Source organism: Homo sapiens, chromosome 16 (genome assembly GCF_000001405.40).
Source record: "Homo sapiens chromosome 16, GRCh38.p14 Primary Assembly".
NCBI classification, from domain to species: domain Eukaryota; kingdom Metazoa; phylum Chordata; class Mammalia; order Primates; family Hominidae; genus Homo; species Homo sapiens.
The window spans coordinates 57,757,813-57,779,152 of NC_000016.10; the positions used below are offsets into that span (position 1 = coordinate 57,757,813).

The window sequence follows — 21,340 nt, forward strand, 5'->3', positions numbered from 1 at the left end:
GCCAGGGCAAAGAGTGGGCAGTGGGTGGTGCCCAGCAGTAACCTGGAAGCCCAGCATGGTTTGGGCAAGGCTTTGATAGCCTTTGAAGCTCTCTCCAGCCTTAGTTTCCTTCCCATCAGTAACATGGAGGAATGCCCCTGTTGGGAGGTCAGTTATCGTGGGCACATGGTAGGTACCGCATGAGGCGACTGTGACCACAAACAACAGAGAAAGTGACCCAGGGTGGGACAGCGCAGGCTCCCCCCAGTTGTTTGTTAAGGACGCATGTCCCTAACTGACCTAGAGGACAGATCCCAGAGGGCTGTGGGGTGACCAGCCAGCGGGGGAGTCCACAAGACCTGCCAGTGCCCCGTCCCCCTAATCAGACCAAGAGGGGCTCACAGACCAACTTTTTCAGACCATACTTGTGTAAAAAGGCTTCTTTTATTTTAATAAGTAAAAATGGCTAAGCTTCCAAAAGTTCTTAAATAGGATTTCAGAGGGAAGAAAATTCGAGAGACCAGCGAGCCAGGCAGGTGAGCGAGCAGCAGAATCCCCCACCCGCTGGCTGCCTCTGCCAGCCATAAACACAGCACGGCCCCGTGGCGGGAGGCCATGCGCCTCCGCACACCCCCCAGCTGCGGGAACCCTCCTTGAAGGAGAGGGGCGGGGAGGGCTGCCATTGGTGCCACCAACCCACCCCAGTCCCCATGGTTCTTGGGTCTGCCCAGAGGCTCCTCGCCCACCCCCTAAGGAGGGGGCTGGCCAGCTCTGCAAGCTGAGGAGAGGGGCCGAGAAAGCCTGGGTGAGAGGCCCACCCTCCTCCACACTCCCGCCCTCCTCACGGGGCCCAGTTCGCTGATGGCCCAGGCCTGCCAGGAAGAGCAGCCACCCCCGCCTTTCCGCCCATGCAATTTGCACTCAGAGCCACAGCCGAGAGACACCGTTTCCTTCTGAACATGTTTCTCATCTTTGAGGGGAGACGGGGCAGAAGAAGAGCCTCCACTCTCGCCTCTACCTCCGGGGGTCCTGGCGCTGCAGCAGGGACAGGCCAGTGAGGGCCCAGCTTCAGGCCCAGCGGGGTCACATCCGTCACACAGGCAGTGGCCGCGACTTCCCTGCAGGGGCATGAGATCATCAGCCTCTTGTCCACTTGCCCACCGGCAGCCCACAGCAGTTGCCACCGAGAGCAGGAGGGAACCCAGCAAAAGCACATAGACAAGCGACAGCAGGGGCTAGACCCAGCTCTGAACAGCAGAACGTCCCAGCGCAGCCCTGCAACCCACTGCGGGCAGGCAGGCGGGCAGCCCTGGGCCACAGGCCCCACACTCACCTAGAGACTCTGCAGCCCCAGCCGTCAGGCTGAAATCAAAGTGACAGGCGTCTCACTGGTGGGCTTGCCTTGGGCCAGTACCCCACAAGACCCTGCTGCTGCTACCCCTTTGGACTCAAGGATGGGCCAGGCCCTCCCATGATCTGGGCTAAACAGGGGCTGGAGCCCTGGGTCCCGGTCCTGTGGCGGGGCTCACTCCTCACCTAGGAGGTAGGCAAGCCCGGCCCTTTCTACCCCCGGGGCAGCTGAGGCACAGGGAGGGGGCTGCAGGGGCTGCTCTGGAGGGGGCTTACTGCACAGGCTCAGCCAGCCCATGCTCAGAGAGCAGGGTCCCAGGGTAGAGTCAGCACCCCCGGCTGAGAGGCTGGGGTCTCCTTACACTGCCCCCTTCCCACAGACCTTCCATTTCCCACCTGCAGAACGGACACAGCACTGTCTGCCCTGACTACTGCCTGGGGGCAGGGGAGGTTGTAAAACAGGTTCTGGAGAAGGTGTAAGAACTTTTTAAAAAGGAAAGAAAAGAGAAAGCCCATCCAGGTAAGGGCAGCCTGGTGACTATTACCCTGGGGAGACTCCCCACCCACACTGCCACTCCAGGCTCACCCGAGGGCTGCAGCTTCCTCCGGATGGATCCAGGGCGGCTACTGGTCCCAGAGCTGGGGGCTGAGTGGGCCCGTGCCGAGGGCTGTGGCGTCTGACAAGCCGGCTCCCACTGTGAGCAGGGAAGGGCGGATGGGCGGGGGCCACGGCTGCCCTGGCTCCCCACCCTGCTGTGCTTCTCTCTACTCCCCTGCCCTGCCTCCTAACACCCAGTTTCCTCATCTGCAAAATGGGCATGATGTTTGTGCCCCAGCCTCAGTTATGGCAAGAATTAAATGAGATAATTCATGTAAAGAAGTCAACTAGTTACCACTGAGCATCTACTATGTGCCACCCCCACGGCCAGCTCGTCACCCCACAGGAACCTCCGAGGCCAAGAAGAAATACCTGTACTGAAGAGGCTGCTGGCTGTGGGTTCCAGCCGTAGCTCCACCCAACTCCGGCAGCTTCCCTGCCCCCACTGCTTCAGGACGTCCCCGCCCAGCTCCCTGCTCCTGCCATGACCCAAAGTCTCTGACCCAGGGCCACCTGAGCCAGGCCTGTGACAGTCCCCGTACCTCTAGATGCTCCTGGCTTGACCAGGACCCAAGCTCTGCCCTGCGTAGCCCAGGCCCCAGCTCCACAGAGCGCACCCTCTCAGCAAACTTGAGGGAATAGAGCGTCTCGCTAGTGTTCTTCTCCACGGGGGACACCTAGGGGACACGAGAGCTCACTGCCCACCCGGGCCAGCTGGAGGGGCAACAGGGTCACGAGAGGGAGCTCACAGCTGGGGCCGTCAGAAGGCTTCCTGGAGAGGCCTGAGGGATGGGGTGGGAGGGCAGGCAACATGGCAGAGGTGCTGTGGTCAAAGGTGGAGAGGAGGGACTGGGAGTTACACAGGGTGTGTGTGGCCAGGTCTAGGGGCGGGGAGGTCCATTTGCACAGCCTGGGGTGACTGGGTCTCACTGCTAGCGTAGCCCCTACATGCTAGGGACTGGCCCGCCCTAACCCAAGGTCCTCACCTGTACCACCATGAGGGTCTTGCTGTCACCACTAAGCGAATCCTGCAGCAGGTAGGTGAGCTTGGAGTTGCGGAAGGGCACGTGGCCCTGGCGGGAGCGCAGGGCAGCAATGACGTCCCCCAGAGCCGACAGCGACTTGTTGATGTGCTGCGCCTCCCGCAGGCGGCTGCCCTCGGCCCCCGACTTGCCCACGCGCTCCGAGCCAGCCAAGTCCACCAGGTTCAGCTTCCCTGCAGGGAAGGCACCCACCAGATCAGGCCTGCCCTGCCCCTTGGGGTTGTGGGGATCCTCAGGCCAGGCTGCCTGCCACTCTCACCCGTGGTGCGGAGGCCTGTGCTGCAGTCCACGCCTCGCACCGTCACGATGAGCAGCGCGTGCGAGCGGGAGCTGTGCTCGTTCAGGTTGGTGAACTCGGTCGTGCGATTAGTGTGGCCAAACTCAAACACCTGGGGGATTGGGAGGAGGGCAGAGGCACAGCGTTGAGAATGGGGTCCTCAGAGTCACCTGGCCCCAAGCACCCATGAGGAGTGGCACCACCCTCCGCAGTTTAGATGAGGAAACTGAGGCTCAGAGAGGCGTGCGGACTTGCCCAAGGGTGCGTGCTTAGGACACAGCAGAGCCTACATTCAAACCCAGTTGTGTCCTCTAGAGCAGTGTGGCTGTGGTCAGGGGCTCCCGCCTCCACACCTTGTTGATGTCGTCCACGCTCTGCACTTGGAACTCAGTCAGCCCTGGTACATACAGCTGCCCACTGCCGTCTGGGCACAGCCGGATCTCCAGTTTTTCCTGAGGCTCTTTCCCTAGCAGGTCCCTGGAGGGGCAGGTGAGACAGTCACCCCCTCCTCCCATTTCCAGCTGCTGTTTGCACTGCACCCAGCCCCCCAGCCAGGAATGTTCCCCCAACCCAGGAAGCCTTCTCCAGCCATCAGCTGAGTGCATCTCTCCTCCTCCAGCTCCTCCACCGCATTCAGCTGAAGACGTGGAGATCTCACTCCACAATACAATGAGCCCCTGTTGGCAGGGCCCCTAGCTGCCCACTCTCACCCATGGCCACCTGGTGTAGCCCACAGGTAGGGGCAAGGATTGCCTGGGTCTCAGAGAGAGCCCCTCCTCCCCCCAGAACCATCCAACCCACTGGGCTGAGTCAGGACTTGCAGCCAGGTCCCTTGACGGCCTCATCTGGTCCCTACACTCCCTTCACCTTGACGGCCTCATCTGGTCCCTACACTCCCTTCAGGAAGACCCCACTTCCTATCCCCCATTGCTCCAGCACCACCCCTGAGGATCCCAAAGCTGCCCCTGAGGCCTGCTCCCCACATACTGGGGGTCCCACCTGAGGACCTCGTTCCAGCACCACCCCGGAGGACCCCAAAGCTGCCCCTGAGGCCTGCTCCGCACACCCTGGGGCTCCCACCTGAGGACCTCATTGTAGATCTCCGCAGCGCTGACGGTGATGGTGTACTCCCAGTCAGACGCCTTCTCCTGCACCTCGGAGAAGAGCAGCTGCAGGGCCCGCTGGTTGATACCTGGGTTCTCAGCGGTCCCCTGGGGACAGAAGGAAAGGCCCCAGTAAGCCAGGCCTGTCCCCAAAGACGCTCGTGTGGTGTCTGTCCCCAAAGCCCCTTGACTACCCCTCACAAGCAAGCCTCCTTGCCCAAAGCTCTTACCTACCTGCCACTGTCCCCCAAAATGCCCTCCACCAGCTGCGGGCAACTGCACCTCTATTTCCCCACCATTAAAATGGCATCGCCCTGCCAGGACTACCCTGAGACTTATAGTGCAGCACTGGGATGAGGGGCCTGGCCCAGACCCCACACAGGGCAGCTGAGGGCCAGATGCATGCCTGGCCCTGTGGGGCCACCTGGGAGGGGCACTGGAAATGAATGACCCCGCCACTGCCCAGAAAGGCGCTCAGTCTCAGGGAGGCTGAGACCTGGGCTCTGTGGGTGGTAGAGAGGAGGCACAAGGAGGAGCGGGCCAGTGTCCTGGGGAAGGACGGGTGGGCCGGCCTTTCTAGAAGGAAACCTGGAGTCCCCACCCGGGACCTCGAGGCCCTGGGAGCCTGGCCCTCACCCCTCTTCTGATAGCACCTCTCACTCACTCTCTATTCCGGCCACAGGGGCCTCCTGGCTGGGCCTCAGGTGCCCCTGGCATGCTCTGGCCTCTTGGCCTCAGCCCTGCAGCTCCCTCTGCCCCGGGTACTCCTCTGACCGCCCCTTGGCCGGCTCCGTCATCTCCCTCAGGGAGGCTGCTCCCAAGATGCCCCCTCAGGGAGGCTGCTCCTTCGCCCAGCACCCCCAAATGCCCTGTCCCTCCCCCTAGTCAGTTCCGCATTCCTGGCTTTATTTTTCTCCCTGGCCTGACAGGACACTTGCTGATTTGTGTAGACCCTGCTGTCTCCCCACAGCCAGGTTGGCCCTGTGGGGAGGGCCCTCTGTGGGGGCAGGGACTGTTTGGGTCACAGCTGTGCCTGGCACGATGCCTGATACACCTTATGCATCAGCAGATACACTTGAGGATGAACGCTCTGATGTTCCTGGTGGTCACCTCAACACTAAGCAATCCCAAAGCAGAGCGGGGAGCCCAGAGGATGCCGCACACATCCCCTTCCTCCTCCTGCCTGGCCTGGCCTGCCCCCACTAACTAGTCTCACCAGTCCCAGAATCGAGGGAACAGCAGAGTCCAGATGGGAAATAAGAGGGCCGCCCAGCAGGCCTGGCTAGCCCCTTCCCCTGTCCAGACGCCACACCACCTGGCCTCCTCCTGACCTAGGGAATCAATCCCACAGCACCCCTCAGAGCCAGGGCTAGCTTTCCACTGCCCTCTGCCCACAGTCAAGATCCTTCCTAGTCTCAACGCCCCTCTCCCTGGCCTGCCACCTGCTCCACCACACCTGGGAGGGTGCCGGTGACGAGCAGGGAGAGGAAGCCTTGGCCTGGCCCCAGGGACCACCGGCAAGAGCTGGGCTCCCCACAACAGCCTTCATATGCCAGTCTTGCCCTGGGATCTCCTTGAGGACTGAGACCCGCCACTCATCCCAGATCCCCCAGGCCCGGCCCAAGGCAGCGGTAAAGCAGGAGTGTGCAGTGCACACTCAAGGTGAAATGCAGCCCTGGTCCTGAGAGAGGTCGGTGGCCTGCCCCAGACTCTGTCCCCAAGCCGAGATCCCTGTGATGATAGTCCCCCCTTGCCTCTCTCCCAGTCCTGCTGGGCCCATTGTGGGTGCCCTTGGGCAAGGGGGCCCCCTCTTAAGGCCTGGTGCCTCAGGGCTAACACAGATAACTACAGCCTCTGCTCCTGGGTTGTGAGGACCAAATGAGGCAAAACACACACTGCACAATACCCCAAGACCAATGAGGGAGCCCGCATTCCCTTCATGCTTCACTGTGAACCCCCACCCCATTGGGCAGCACCCACCTCCATCGTGTACGTCTTGCCGGCGCCCGTCTGGCCGTACGCAAAGATGCAGACATTGAAGCCATCAATGCAAGAGGTGACCAGGGCCTGCACCTCCTGGAACACCTGGGAGGGTGGTGGGAGGGAGGCTGGTGGGGGGGCTTCCAGGGCCGCTGGGACCACCAGCTACAAGTCCAGCCACCTCCCCAACCATGCTGTCCTTCAGCAACACCACATCACGTGTTACTGCAGTCACTCAGCTCACAATGATTCGTGACTCATGAGTCATACATTAGACAGTAGTGGGCAACCGGGCCGCCCAAAGACTGCAGGGAAGACAGGCCAGTGCCTGCTGCCCTTCCCCCAGCTCCTCCTGCTCTCTCTCAAAGAGTGCTCAGCACAAGGAAGGTGGAGGCCAGCACATGCCTGGGGCCTCTCTGGCCTGGGCCTGCCTGCCAGCCATCAGAGGATGGGGGCAAAGATAGAACCAGACATGAGAACAGGAGGGCACAGGCCTGGCAGGGCTGGCAGGTTGGTCTGGGCAGAGATAAGGGAAGAGTGGACACTGAGAACACATGGTTCTCATACAGCCTCAGGGGGTTGGGGGATTCCTAGGAAGGCCCAGGGGACTGATACAGGAGGGTATTCCCGGATGGGGAAGATGGGCAGGGTCATGAAGATGGATGGGGCCATGTGGGTGGCCATGGGGGTGGGAGGGGCTGTGATGGTGGGAGGGGCCTGAAAGTGGGTGAGGCCACATGGTGGGAAGATGGGAGGGGCCTGAGGGTGGGTGGGGCCATGCAGATGGGAGGAGCCACAGCATGAGGGTGGGATGGGCTGTGATGGTAGGAGGGGCCTTGGGAGTGGGCAGGGCCATGCAGTGGAAGGGGCCACCTGAATGGGAGGACCCAAAGCCATGGTGGTGGGAGGGGCTGTGGGTGAGGCCATGTGGTGGAAGGGGCTGTGGATATAGGAGGGGCCACATGGTGGGAGGAGCCACAGCTGAGAGAATGGAATGAGTTACGATAGTGGGAAGGGCCTCAAGGGTGGGCGGGGCCACACGGTAGAAGGGGCCTTGGGGACGGGAGGAACCACAGCCATGGGAGGGGATGGGCTGTGTCTGGATCTCTCCTTCCTAAGGAGGCTTTCAAGGGCTTCAGTCTTAACTTCCCACCCTCTTCTGTCCTCCAGAGGAAGGAGCAGGACCCTGGCTCCCCACTTCTGATTCCTGCACCCCCCACTCTTAACGCTTCTTCCTGCCCAGCGCCCCCGCTCCCTGTGAGTCCATCTTTCCCTCTCTCCCTTGCTTTCCCTTTCCCGCATGGGGCCACACTCACGTCCTGCTGCGAGGCCTGTGGGGAGAAGACCTTGTCCAGCTCGAAGGACACAGGCTTGCCCTTGTGCAGCAGGTGGATGATGGAGTCGTCGTCGGCATCGAAAGTCACAGCATTGGTGGCCTCAGGTCCTTCCCCATCCTCTTTGGTGACTGGCCGGACACGAGCAATCACTCGGATGTTCCCTGGATTGGTTGGGGATGGGGAAATGGGTCCAGGCCATGTCAAGACCAGTCTCCATTCTGGTCCACTGGTGTCCCAGGCAGACTAGTTGACCTAGGAGTCCCCTGACTTTTAAGCACAGCCCCCTAGGGGAAGGGGGCCCACAAAGCTGTTATCCGTCATTCACACTATAGTATGAATTCACTTAGTACATTTCTTCTTGAACAGACCAGTTGACTGGGGTGGAGCTCTGCCTTGGGGATGGGGAGGAAAGGTCAGTTGTGGGGCTCAAGCACTGCACCCCGTCAGGGTGAGACACCAGAACGGACACTCTTTTTCTCCCTGGACTTCAGTTTCTTCATCCAGACAATGAGGGGCTTGGGCCCCAATGAGCAAAGAGCCTTGTCCTGAATGGCAGGACAGGGCTTAGGAATCAGATGGGCATATAGGCCCAGGCAGCAGGTGATGACTGGTGGTGTATCTGAGGGCCCAGATAGTGGGGCAGCCACAGGGGTATCTGGCAGCATGAGCTGGTCATGCCGCCATCTACTTCCAGCCTTTGTTGGGATCCCTGTGCTCTTGGAATGAAGAGGAAACACCCCCCACTGCCAGCATGGCCCACCTGCCCTCCCTTTTCACCCATCCGTTCCAGCTCACTGTCCAGGTCTCAGCTCTAACTTTGCCTTCTCTGGGAAGCCCCTCAACACACTTGCCTGTCCCATACCCAGGAAAGCCTGTCTCAGCCCTGGAAGGGGGCAGGGTTGGGGTTCCCTGACAATCATCATTGTTGATTCTCACACTAAAGTGTGCACCGGGAGGCAGTCTGTGGGGCCACGACCATAGCCTCGGGCTGGAACGGCACCTGGCACAGAGCAGGCACTCTAGAGCTCCATGCAGTGAATGGTGGAGTCTCAAGCTTGACCAGGCCCCAGGTCAGAATAAGCGGCTTTCCAGCTGCCACCAACCCAATGCTGCAACACCACACCCCTCGGCTACCCAGGGCCTGGGGAGTCACCTGCCCAGGCACTGGGGCCAGGGCTTCTGAGCTGGACAGACTCAAGTTCAAATCCAAGGCAGACCATTTAATATCCATGTGGCTTTGAGCAAGTTCCCTGCCTTCTCTGTGCCTCTGTTTCCTTATCTACAGAGATAGGATTAGAATAGTGCCTCAATGGTGGGGTGAGCTCCAAGCATGACTGCCAAGCCAGGTCGAGGACCCCGAGGCCAGCGCCCACCCCCAGCCCTCCTGCAGTCACCTTTCAGCCGCACGAGCTCATTGTGGCACTTCTTACGCAGCTGCAGCTCGCGGCGGTACTTGCGCAGCAGCTCCTGGTTGTTGCTGTTGACCTCCTCGATGGCCTGGCCTATCTGGTGGGGGGTGCACACCACTGTCAGGGGGACGGCTCCATCAGCCTTACCGGCCTGACTGCCCACCCCTGAGGGGTGCTCACTGCCTCCTGCCCCTGGCTGAGTACCTGACACACGCTGTCACATGTCAGACTGTCCCAATCACCCCTCTGGGTAGGTACTGCTACCATCCCCATTTTACAGATGATGAAACTGAGCCGCAGACACTAAGCTGACAGCTTGAGGCTGCTCTGCTAATAAGCATAGAGCCAGGACTCAGCCCTCCACACCACAGCACTAGTGCTTGACTATGTGATTCAGCCAGACTCAAATTCCAACTCTGCCCCTGAGTAGCTGGGGACCTGAGACCACTGGCTCAATGTCTTTAAGCCTCAATTTTCTCATCTGGAAAGCAGGGATAATACCATCTAACTCATGAATCTGTAAAGATCTCCCAGTTACATTTCACAGGTAGAAAAAAGATGCAAAATCACACATACAGTATCACACTGTACACAAATCACACATCCCCTTTCTGGAGTAGAAGGGAAGTGTATACAGTGTATACAGTCTTCCCTTAGTAACCGTGGAGGATACAAAAATCCACAGATGCTCAAGCCCCTGATATAAAATGATATAGTGTTTGCCTATAACCTACACACATCCTCCCATATACTTTATTTTTTTTGAGACAGGGTCTTGCTCTGTTGCCCAGGCTGGAAGTGCAATCACAGCTCCATGGATGTGGTGGAAACTCATTGTGAGTGGTGTTATCTTGGCTCACTGCAGCCTTGACCTCCCAGACCCAAGCAATCCTCCCACCTCAGCCTCCCGAGTAGCTGGGACTACAGGTGCAGGCAACCACACTCAGCTAGTTTTTTTATATTTTTTTGTAGAGATGGGGTCCCACTATGTTGCCGAAGCTGGTCTTGAACTCCTGGGCTCAAGTGCTCCTCCTGCCTCAGCCTCCCAAAGTGTTGGGATTACAGGTGTGAGCCACTGTGCCCAGCCCCTCCCATGTACTTTAAATCATCTCCAGGTTACTTATAATATCTAATACAATGAAAATGCTGGGTAGGGGCTGGGTGCAGTGGCTCATGCCGGTAATGCCAGCACTTTGGGAGGCGGAGGTGGGCGGATCACCTGAGGTCAGGAGTTCAAAACCAGCCTGGCCAACATGGTGAAGCCCAGCCTCTATTAAAAATACAAAACAAACAAACAAACAAACAAAACTAGCCCGGCATGGTGGCACACGCCTGTAATCCCAGCTATCCAGGAGGCTGAGGCAGGAGGGTCGCTTGAACCCGGGAGGTGGGGGTTGCAGTAAGCTGAGATCCCGCCATTGCACTCCAGCCTGGGCAACAAGAGTGAAACACTGTCTCAAAAACAAAAAAATGCTGTGTAAATAGTTGTTATATGTTATTTTTTATTTCTATTATTTCTAATTGTTGTACTGTTAATTTTTTTCAACTATTTTTGATCTGTGGTTGTTTGAATCTGGGAATGCAGAACCTGTGGATGGGGGAAGGGCCTACCATATATTCTCACACACACACACACACACACACACACGCACAATTGGCTTAAGCATGCTCAGAACAGTCGGGGGAAATGCTGAGAGGCCACATTGGAAGAGTTGGGTGGGTGGCAGAGAGGCCTTTCCTATTCACCTGATGCCCTGCTATGGAGTTTGACTTTTCACCACGTCCATGTATTACTGATATAGTCTTTTAAAGGAGAAGAACTATATTCTGTTCCCAAAATATATTAGTCTTTGCAAAGCTATCATACAAATTCAAGGAGCTAACGGCTATAAACAGCTCGACATGTAGGAGGCACTTAAGAGGCACTGGTTATTCTCATATGTACAAGTACAGCTTGAAAGAATTAAGTTAAACCTAACAGAGGTAAGACTGTATCGGCCAGTCATGGTGGCTCACACCAATAATCTCAGCACTGCGGGAGGCCAAGGCAGGAGGACTGCTTGAAGCCAGGAGTTCAAGACCAGCCTCGGCAACATAATGAACCCTGTCTCTAATAAATAATTTTTTTAAAAAATACGTATGTAGCATGTTTTTTGTTTGTTTTTGAGATAAAGTCTCGCTGTCACACAGGCTGAAGTGCAGTGGCATGATCTTGGTTCACCGCAACCTCCGCCTTCTGGGTTCAAGTGATTCTCCTGCCTCAGCCTCCCGAGTAGCTGGAATTAACAGGCACCTGCCACCCATGCCCAGCTAATTTTTGTAATTTTAGTAGAGACGAAGTTTCGCCTTGTTGGCCAGGCTGGTCTCAAACTCCTGACCTCAAGTGATCCGCCTGCCTCGGCCTCCCAAAGTGTTGGAATTACAGGTGTGAGCCACCGCGCCTGGCCTGCATGTTTGAAATATGAAGTTATCTGTAACATGTTTGGTTTAAAGAATCATAGTAAGACAAATAGCCGAATGCCTGCCCTGAGCAGTCTAGTTTCAAACAGGGCCTATAAGGGCAGCAGTAAGTGTCATGGGGGGTGGGGCAGGGGCTGCTGTCTGAGCGGCTTTGTCTGAGCTTTGGAGGGACGCCCTGAGTGGATGTCGTGCCTCTCCCAGTGCACCCCCTTAGCCTGGACCCTCCCACCCACTGCCCTCGCTCACCTCGGCCTTGACACTCCTGAGGGCCTCCTGCAGCAGCAGTGGGAAGCCGCGCACCTGCCGCTTGAGCCCATTGTAGTCGTTGGTGAGGGTCCGCAGTGCCGGCTGCAAGGTCAGCAAGTTGGTCCGGACGCCTATGGGGACACTCGGGCTGTGAGGCGGGAGGGGATGAGGGGCCGCGGCGTGGGGCAGACAGGGCCCAGCTGGTCAGCTCACCTGCTAGATTCTCGTGCACAGCCTTCATCTCCACCTGGGCTCTGGCAAAGGCCTCCTCAATGGCCCGGTTCTTGTCCTCTTCCAGGGACTGCATCTCCTCCAGCATCTGCCCATGGGCCCGCTCCAGCTCTGACTCGTACATGGCAATCTGGCCAGACCAGGAAAAGGCTCAGTACCTCGAGGTGCGGGAGAGAGAGGGGCAGGTGCCACACCGAGAAAGAAACTGGTCACCTCCCATGCACATGAACACACATGCACACACACATGTGCACACCCAGAGGGGCAGAATGGCCTTGTCTCCCTCCCCCTACAGGGCTGTGAGCTCTGGGCATTGGCTCCAACACCAACCCAGTGCTGAGCACACATCAGGTGCCCAAGCCACGTGCCCTCAGGAAGGTAGGAGAGGGCCTCTGTGATGACAGTGACAAGTGCCATGTAGAGCTTACTGAGCACAGCCTGTGTGCTGGGCCGTGGGCACAAAGCTTCTTGGGATGACGTTCCTGAGTCCCCACTGTGAGGTGGGTTCTGGGACCAGATCGTGTTATAATAGATGAGGAAAAGGAAACCAGACAAAACTTGCCCTGGGTCCCGTGGCCATCGGGGAGAGGAGGGACTGGACCCCGTGTCTGTGGGGTACCCAAATGTTTAACCGATGCATTGGCCCAAGGGCCTGCCTCTGGCTTCCTGGCTGGGCATGTGCCCCCACACAGCCTGGGTACCTGCGCCCGGAGCCGCGCGGTCAGCTGGTGTGAGCTCTGCAGCTGCTGTTCCATCTCCTTCAGCACCTGCCTCTGCATAGCCACCTGCTCCTGCAGGTGCTGGTTCCGGGCCTGGGACTCGCTGAGGGCCTGCTTGGTCTTGGACGACTCCACCTCCACTGTCTTGATGACATACTGCAGGGTGAGGGAGGAATGGCACGTGGAGCCAGCGGGCACCGTACCTCACCCAAGAGCCTGAGACGCAGCAGGCCAGGGGAAGGAACTCTCGGGAACATCCCACTCAGAAACCAGAAAAAAACTAGAGGAGCCTTGAGGTCCTGGCTTTCCAGAAAGCTGGGGGGGTCTCCTGGAACCTTCTCAGCTTAACAAGAGGCTACTATGAGCCTGGCTGGGGCCCCATCCTGGGTACAGACAAGAAAGGCAAAAAGACGAGGGCAGAATCCAGGGGCTGCGCTGCATCTGTGCCTGGCACCTCAGCTGTTGGATACCTACTCGGTGCCTGGCCCTGGATACAGGAAGGGGAAGGGGCAGGACCAAGCACAGAACTGGAATGATTCTTCCACCCACACACACCTACCTATTCACCAGGACAAGCCCCCCTTATGGGCTAGCCCTGCCCCAGGTGCCAGGGGCCTTGGGCTGAGGCACAGATCAGGTGGGCCAGGGCTCACCTTGACAGGTGGGGACTGGGCCCGCAGGCTGGCAATGGTCTCGTGGCTGTCACGCAGGCGCCGACTAAGCCGCTCCTCCTCCTGTGCCTTCTCAGCCAGGCAGTCCTTGAGTCGCAGCTCCACCTCAGCCAGCCGGTCGGTCTTCTGCTGCACCTCTAGGTTCAGCTCTGACAGCATGCCTTTGCTTTCCGCCATCTCCAGCTGCAGCTGGGACAGCTTGTCACGGAGCTGGGCGCTCTCCTGCAGCCATTGGGAGGCACTGGATGAGTGCAAGGGACAGGCTCACTGTGAGGAGCTGGGGTGGCCCTCCAGGACCAGCATGGGGACCACGGCCATTCTGCTCACCTGGCTGTGCTCACAACCTGGGCAGGGACCTGCTGGCTTTGTGCGCAGCTCTTGCAGCTCGGCCTCACAGCGCCGCATCTCCTGCCTCAGTCGCTCATTCTCCACCATCAGCAGGTCCCGGTGCTTCTCCAAGTCGGTGCCCCCCTGCAGAGAGCCAGGGCCGAGGGGGCGCATGTGGCGAGGGCAGATGACGGGGGAAAGAAGAGAGGCCCGCGGAGATGGCACAAGGGCAGGGAAGAGAGGAGAGGTGTGGAGAAAGGCAGAGGGAAGGAGAAAAAGAAAAAGAAAAAGGCAAGGGCAAGAGAGGAGGGAACAAGCTCAAGAGAGAAACCAAGAGAAAGACAGTGGAGGGCAGAGTTGAGAAGGGTGGTGACCCAGAGCCTGCTCTCCCTGCTGCCCCCACCCTATTCTGAGTGTGAAAGTCACAAGGAGAGACATATTTATACCAGGGTTCACACTCCCGTTTAATGTCAGCAACAGAGAAGGAACCTCCCACCCCCTGGAGCCACAAGGCCTCTGAGGGTACTAGGAGGTGGGGATAAGGCTCTCGGTGTGTTTCTGAGACAGGGTGGGATATGCGGGCTCAGGAGAGAGAGGGTCGCACCCCTGCCCCTGGCAGGGCCCATCTGCACAAGGCAGGCCAGGCCCTGCGCTACCCCAGGACAGCCTTGTGGCCTCACCAGCTCAGATCGCAGTCGGCTCACTTCCTGGGCCTGGCTAATGAGCTTCTCCTTCAGGTGTTCTACCTGTGGGCACAGAGTCAGGAGCAAGGTGAGCCTCAGTCCTCAGCTCCAGCCTACACCCAGGCCTCCTGCCCAGCACCAGGGATGACTGATGTGGCTGTGGCTTCTTCTAAGGCTGTGGCCTTAGGTTCCCCTATGTTCAAGCATCCCATCACACCTGGGACTTCAGGTGAGAGAAACCTGGGCTGGTGCTGACAGCCTCCCGCACCCTCTCCCTCCACAGGACAGAGCCAACCCCAGCTCTTCAGGAAAGCCCAGAGGGCAAGTGCAACCAAGGCCACCCCGATGCCCCCTGGGCCCACCCAACGGCAGCCCACCCTCAGGACCCCTCACTACACGAGCCCCTCCCAAAGTCCTGTACCTGCCTGTGTCTATGTAATTTTATGTTCTCTCTCTTTAAAAGGGCCCCCAGATGGTACATACTCCAGGTCCTCCGAGCCCTAGATCCACCCTGGCCCAGCCCCCAGAATTTTCCACTTGGGGTGGTCTCTGGCAAGTCAGCCTGTGGAGATGGGTCTGCCAGTGGTCAGGGCACACTCAGAACCTGTGTCCACCCCTGCTCCCAATCTGCCTTGCAGGAAAGCTGTGGCAGCCAAGGCTCTTATAGGGGGAAGGGGGTGTGCACCCCATGAGGAAGCCACGGTTACCTAGCTTATCCGGACCCCAGAAGAGGGGACACCATCATGGTGCCAGTCCCATGAGGGCAGATCCCAGGGGAGCAACCCTTCCCCGGCGCTGTCCTCCAGCCACCCATCCCCTCCCAAGGCCCTAGACCCTGGTCTCACATCAGCCCACCCCCAGAAACCTCTCTCAGGAAACAATTCACAGACACAGACTTTGGCTCCAGCTTCCGTCAGGGCATGTTTAGTACTTTTCTTGCAGAACGTCCTGTGGTGAGCAACCCCCACCTCGGGAAAGGTGCGCTAAGAGCCAGATTCCTGTGTGGTGGTTTAGGAGGTTTACACAGCTGGGTTCTCATTACTAAATGATAGGCAACAACGTCCACTGATTACAGGGGACAGCCAGGTAAGGCAGGTGAGGGGCTGTGCAGGGCTTGGCTCCCAAGAACCCTTTAAGAAGGCGGCCACCACGTACTCTCCTCGGACGACAGGAGGTGAGAACGCACACCCAGCATCGCCAAAATTCTCATCTTTCAAGAGAGGCCTAGGCCAGCCTGAGCAACACAGCAAGACCCCATCTCTACAAAAAGTTTCAAAACTCAGCCGAGTGCACCAGTGCACGCTTATAATCCCAGCTGTAATCCGGGGGGTTAGGTGGGAGATCACCTGAGCCCAGGAGTTTGAAGCTGCAGTAAGCTATGATAGCATCACTGTACCCCAGGGTGACAGAGCGAGGCTGTCTAAAAAAAATAAAATAAAAATAGAGGCTTAGAGTCCGCCCCCTTAGCACTCAGCAGCATGCATCAGCCATAGTTAAGACAGGCCGGACATTTGGATTTTGGGGGTGTGTGTAAAATCTCCCTACTTTACATGGTTGAGATGTCATCAAACAAGTCTGTGTCATCAAACAAGGTAGTGTTCGGCCTCGGAGGTCCCTGTCTCCCAGGGTGGGAGAGAACGGCTGACTCACAGCAGCTAGGCCAGCTCTGAGTGGTCAGGGAGGAAGTGGACCAAGGGATCCACCCCCACCTCTGAGGAAAAGGCCAGGGAGCTGGCACTGCCTGCTCTTGGTGGGGCAGGGGGATTCCAAGATGCAAGACCCAGGTGAAAGGCTGGGGGCCCAGCCAGGCCTCCTGGGGGACAAGCAGGTGACCCAAGGGCCAGACCCCTGGAGGTCAGCTCTGCCGCCACCTGCACAAACACATTCCTTCCTAGCAACACGCTGGGCCACGGGCCAGGCAGGGAGGCAGAGCTTGTGCCACTTCTCTGCCCGCTCAGTGCCTGATGAGAGGACGGCTCAAGTCCTTTGGCCCCTGGGTGGGAGTAGGGACAGTTTGCATGAGGCAGCCTTTCTGCTTTCGTCCTAAAATTGAGAATACCCTGAATAAGCACCCTTAGAGGAGTGGGCAGGTGAATTACAATGTGTATATATAGTACATAGACTATTCTGTCATCATTACATTCATGTTTATCAGGAGTTTTAAATGTCATGGGGAAAGGCTCATCAACATATTAAGTCCAAGAAACATCTGAAAAACCATTAAGTGTACAGCACTAAAAAGTGGGGGTCTCTGGGCTGTGGAATTATAGTTGACAAAATCTTTATGCTTTTCAGTAATTTTTTTTTTTCTTTTTGAGACAGGGTCTCACTCTGTCACCCAGGCTGGAGTGCAGTGCCTCGATCTAGGCTCACTGCAGCCTAGACCTCCTGGACTCAAGCCATCCTCCCATCTCAGCCTCCCGAGTAGCTGGGACTACAAGCACATACCATCACGCCCGGCTAATTTTTTTTTTTTTTTTAATGTATAGAAGGGTCTTGCCATTTTGCCCAAGCTGGCCTTGAATTCCTGGCCTCAAGCAGTCTTCCCGCCTCAGCCTCCCAAAGTGCTGGGATTACCGTTGTGAGCCCCTGCGCCCGGCCAGTAATTTTTCAGTCTCAAAGAATACGTAATTCCTACTCTCCCTACCCTGACATAAGTGAACTGACTTCCTCTTCAAAAGGTTGAAGTCTCCTTCCACGCCCCCTCCCTCCCCAGAAAGGCTGCTGCCTCAGCATGGGGCTGGGCGCACTAACCTTGATCATCTCCACTGCCGCCCCTGCCAGGCACTCAGACCCTGATGCAGGGAGAGTGGGGTTTGCCAGTGTTTGCTGGGGGTGGGAGGCGGGATACCCACCAGCCACCTGCCTGCGGCCCAGGGTTCTGTTCTGTCCTTGCATCACAATGGGAACCTGGGGGCTCCTGGGCTCTGTCCAGAATCTCAGAGGGGCACCCAAAAGGAAGTGGCCGCAACCGCAACCAGGGCAGGCTGGGGAGCATGGGGGATGGTGAGGGAGTTGAGGAAGGGGCTCTAAAGGCCCCTTTGTTCAGAGGTGTCAGACACTAGGTCATCTCTGGCTTCTTGAGGGCAGCAAAGCAGGGGGAATGTGACTGAGACGCAGCAGACTGGCACCACGAGCACTCTGGCCAAGGCACCAGTGGCCTGCTCCGTGGCAGGTGGTTGGCCAGCTCTACTGGGGGCTAGGTCTCGGGCTTGTAGGGAAGATGTCTGCTTTCTCCTGCACTTGAAGGCAGGCAATCTCTCAGAGTTAGGGAAAACAGGCAAGAAGTCAGAGAGAAACGGAGGCACCTGGGGAAAGCGGATGGAAGATGGCCTGGGAGCAGTGAGAGCCAAGAGCAGGCAGGGCCTTCCTCAGGGAAGACTGAGGGCCCTTCACACACTCACCGCAGCTTCCAGCCAGCAAGGGCCGTCCATGTCTCTAAGCCCAACAGGGGAGGGTCCCGAGTGCCACCCTGGGCCCGATACATACTTGTGGCCACAAAGGGGCAGCAGGCACATGCCTGAGCCCAAGACACAGGACGGAGGAGAAAGCAGACTCCCCACTAGGCGGCTGAAACGGTCCCAGGACAGCATGGACGTCAATCCAGGGCTGAGGACGGACCAGGCTGGGGCTGTGCGACACTCCTCCCGGGCCCAGGCTCCTCATCAGCCAGAGCAACTGAATCACGGGCCTGCTGCAGGGGGCGTCACCCTGCCTGCTCAAGGGGAAGAGGGAGCTGGGCCTGTCTGCCGGCTTGACACCACCTGCATTTACACTTCACAGGCAGAAGCGGCTCGACCAAGGGTGGGGCCAGCCAGCCCAGGTCTTTGTGTTTTCTCAGCTGTCTGCTTCCAAGGCGGCCTCTTACCATCACAGAAAGAAAACCTGCTGGTTACCTCCTTACCTCCCACCAAGCCCAGTCAACGATCATCAGCTGTCTGCTGAGGAAAAGCGGGCTCTCCCAGGCTGAAGCTGCTGAGCTGGGAAGGCCAGAGGGTCTGGGATCCAGACAACCTCAAGGAAACTCAGCCCAGAGGCCAGCGGGGCGGCCCTGGGAGCACACCCTGTGGAGCCCACAGAAGGCCTGATCCTGGCTGTATGACCACCGGCCAGGCCTATCTGTCCCCTGTCCACGCCACCCTGCCTCTGTTGCCAAGTCTTCACCTCTGGGTCCTTCCGCCACTGATGGGCAGTAATAGCAGCTGACAATTCGAATTCTAAAGCCAGGCTGCCCAGGTTCTAATCCAGACATCCCCTTACCTGCTGGGTAACCTTGGACAAGTCTCTTAAGTTCTCTATGTCTCTTAGTTTCCTTATTTGTATAATGAGGCTACCTCATGGAAGCTGTCTCGAGGATTAAACGAGATGATATATGCGAAGGCAGGGATTTTTGTCTGTTGTGTTCAGCACTGTACTCCCAGTGCCTGGAACAGTGCCTGGTACACAGTAGGTGTTCAGTAAGTACCTGTAGGAAGAATGCTGAATGCATGAGGGGCCAGCCAGAGCAGAACTTGTGGATGAGGTTGGTAAGCAGAGACAGAAAGGGTGGTGGGGCTGGAGCGTGCTAAAGGATGGTCACCTCCACCAAAGGCAGGAGCTGCCACTAGACCTCAAGCGGTGGGTGCCATGTGGGAATGTCAGCTCAGAGGTGCCACATCTTCCAATATTTTATGACAAAAAGGAAGTCTAGAGTTTTATGTGAATTTAATTAAGATTTGAATGTTGGAATTAATTTGATTTTAAAAGCAGGGCAATTAGAACTAATAAATTCAGCAAAGTTGAAGGATACAAAATGAACACACAAAAATCGGTTACATTTCTACAACTAACAATAAACAATCCAAAAAGGAAATTAAGAAAATAATTCCATTTACAATAGCATCAAAAAGAATAAAGTACCGAGGAATAAACTTAACAAAGGTTAAATATTGTATGCTAAAAACTACAAGATATTGGTGAAAGAAATTAAAGATGACACCAATAAATGGAAAGACATTCCATGTTCATGGATTAGAAGATTTAATATTGATAAGGTGTCAGTACTACCCAAAGTGATCTACAGATTCAATGCAATGCCTAACAAAATCCCAATGACATTTTCTAAAGAAATAGAAAAATCCATATCAAGGGACACCACATAGCTAAAACAGTCTTGAAAGACTGAAGGTCTCACACTTCCTGATTTCAAAACTCACTAAAAAGCTACAGCAATTGGCCAGGCGCGGTGGCTCATGCCTGTAATCCCAGCACTTTGGGAGGCCGAGGCAGGCGGATCACCTGAGGTCAGAAGTTTGAGGCCACCCTGGCCAACGTGACGAAACCCCATCTCTACTAAAAATACAAAAATTAGCCGGGCCTCATGGCAGGCGCCTGTAATCCCAGCTACTCAGGAGGCTGAGGCAGGAGAATCGCTTGAACCCGAGAGGCAGAGGTCGCAGTGAGCTGAGATTGCACCACTGCACTCCCGCCTGGGCAGCAGAGCAAGACTCCATCTCAAATAAAAAAAAAATTAAAAAAAAAAAAGCTACAGCAATCAAAGCAGTGTGGTACTGACATTAAAACAGACATAAAGAGCAATGGAATGGAATACAGAGTCCAGAAATAAACCCTCGCATATATGGTTAAATGATTTTTGACAAGGTTGCCAAGATCATTTAATGTGGGAAAGGATAATCTTTTCAACAAATGGTGCTGAGAAAACTGGATATCCACAGGCAAAAGAATGGAGTTGGATCCTTACCTTATACCATATACAAAAATTAACTCAAAATAGATCAAAGAGGGCCAGGCGTGGTGTAATCCCAGCACTTTGGGAGGCCAAGGTAGGAGGAGTGCTCGAGCCCAGGAGTTCAAGACCAGCCTGGGCAACATAGGGAAACCCTGTCTCTACAACAAGTAACCAAAATTAGCTGGGCACAGTGGCACACGCCTGTGGTCCCAGCTACTAGGGAGGCTGAGGCGGGCAGATCACTTGAGCCCAGGAGGCCAAGGCCACAGTGAGCCATGACTATACCACCACACTGCAGCCTGGGCAATACAGCAAGATCTTGTGTCAAAACAAAAAACAAAAAACCCCAAAGACCTAAATGTGAGAGCTAAAACTATAAAACTCTCAGAAGAAAATAGAGGAGAAAATGTCATGACATTAAATTTGGCAATGACTTCTTGGATATAACACCAAAAGCACAGGCAATAAAAGAAAAAATAGGTAAGTCAGACTTTATCAAAATTAAAAACTTTTGTATAACAAAGGACACTATCAACAGAGTGAAAAGGCAACACGTGGAAAATACTCGCAAATCATTTATCTGATAAGGAGTTATTATCCTGGATATATAAAGAACTATAACTCAACAACAACAAACCCAATTTAAGAATGAGCAAAGAACTTGAATAGCAATTTCTCCAGAGAAGACATACAAATAACTAAAACACACATGAAAAGATATTTAATATCACTGGCATTAGGGAAATGCAAATCAAAACCACTATGAGATACCACTGCACACCTATTAGGATGGCTGTTACAAAAATGAAAATAAGCAGGAGCGAGTCCCAGCTACTCCAGGAGGCTGAGGCACAAAGATTGCCTGAGGCCAGGAGTTCAGAGGCTACAGTGAGCTATGACCATGAACGGCCACTGCACTCTAGTCTGGGCAACATAGCGAGACCTCATCTCTACAAATAAATAAAGAAAATGAAAAACAAGTGCTGATAAGGATATGGAGAAACTGGAACCCGTGTGCACTGTTAGTGGGAATGTAAAATGGTGCGGCCACTATGGAAAACAGTATGATGGTTCCTCAAAAAATTAAAAATTGAACTATCATATGATCCAGCAATTCCATTTCTGGGTATATACCCAAAATAATTTAAAGGAGGGGTTCAAAGAGATACTTGTACACTCATGTTTATAGCAGCATTATT

The 21,340-nt window shown here is 56.0% G+C and overlaps 1 protein-coding gene and 1 non-coding gene across 40 annotated transcripts in view, besides 4 other annotated features; both read right to left on the reverse strand.

Moving 5' to 3' along the window:
• Positions 405-21,340, reverse strand: part of KIFC3 (kinesin family member C3) — a 104,642-nt gene continuing 83,706 nt past the window's right edge. For 20 of the 39 annotated variants that reach the window (XM_011523075.2, XM_005255937.2, XM_006721188.2 and 17 more), the window contains 16 exons: positions 14,411-14,476; positions 13,731-13,874; positions 13,386-13,625; positions 12,715-12,888; positions 11,996-12,143; positions 11,783-11,913; positions 9,062-9,173; positions 7,647-7,828; positions 6,331-6,435; positions 4,328-4,458; positions 3,601-3,724; positions 3,230-3,359; positions 2,914-3,143; positions 2,470-2,604; positions 1,916-2,024; positions 405-1,097 (listed from right to left, as the gene is read on the reverse strand). In XM_011523075.2, coding sequence (XP_011521377.1) covers positions 1,072-1,097; positions 1,916-2,024; positions 2,470-2,604; positions 2,914-3,143; positions 3,230-3,359; positions 3,601-3,724; positions 4,328-4,458; positions 6,331-6,435; positions 7,647-7,828; positions 9,062-9,173; positions 11,783-11,913; positions 11,996-12,143; positions 12,715-12,888; positions 13,386-13,625; positions 13,731-13,874; positions 14,411-14,476 — 2,187 coding nt within the window. In that variant the 3' untranslated portion in view covers positions 405-1,071. Of the gene's footprint in view, positions 1,098-1,312; positions 1,342-1,915; positions 2,025-2,469; positions 2,605-2,913; positions 3,144-3,229; positions 3,360-3,502; positions 3,725-4,327; positions 4,459-6,330; positions 6,436-7,646; positions 7,829-9,061; positions 9,174-11,782; positions 11,914-11,995; positions 12,144-12,714; positions 12,889-13,385; positions 13,626-13,730; positions 13,875-14,410; positions 14,477-17,167; positions 17,267-18,673; positions 19,443-21,340 lie in introns of those variants that run through there. The other 19 variants (XM_011523076.2, XM_017023221.2, XM_047434083.1 and 16 more) reach the window with 11 other exon arrangements.
• MIR6772 (microRNA 6772) lies at positions 14,477-14,540 on the reverse strand. Its single transcript, NR_106830.1, has one exon. It is a non-coding gene; the product is annotated as a microRNA 6772 (primary transcript).
• Positions 16,830-17,408: an enhancer, noted in NCBI's record as "H3K27ac-H3K4me1 hESC enhancer chr16:57808554-57809132 (GRCh37/hg19 assembly coordinates)". NCBI's record gives its function as "activates a minimal SCP1, AML or CMV promoter by ChIP-STARR-seq in primed H9 embryonic stem cells {active_cell/tissue: H9 hESC(primed)}" and the evidence as "EXISTENCE:reporter gene assay evidence [ECO:0000049][PMID:30033119]".
• Positions 17,959-18,018: an enhancer, noted in NCBI's record as "active region_10913". NCBI's record gives its function as "activates an Ori minimal core promoter by ATAC-STARR-seq in GM12878 lymphoblastoid cells {active_cell/tissue: GM12878}" and the evidence as "EXISTENCE:reporter gene assay evidence [ECO:0000049][PMID:35858748]".
• Positions 17,959-18,565: a biological region, named in NCBI's record as "NANOG-H3K27ac-H3K4me1 hESC enhancer GRCh37_chr16:57809711-57810289".
• Positions 17,987-18,565: an enhancer, noted in NCBI's record as "NANOG-H3K27ac-H3K4me1 hESC enhancer chr16:57809711-57810289 (GRCh37/hg19 assembly coordinates)". NCBI's record gives its function as "activates a minimal SCP1, AML or CMV promoter by ChIP-STARR-seq in naive H9 embryonic stem cells {active_cell/tissue: H9 hESC(naive)}" and the evidence as "EXISTENCE:reporter gene assay evidence [ECO:0000049][PMID:30033119]".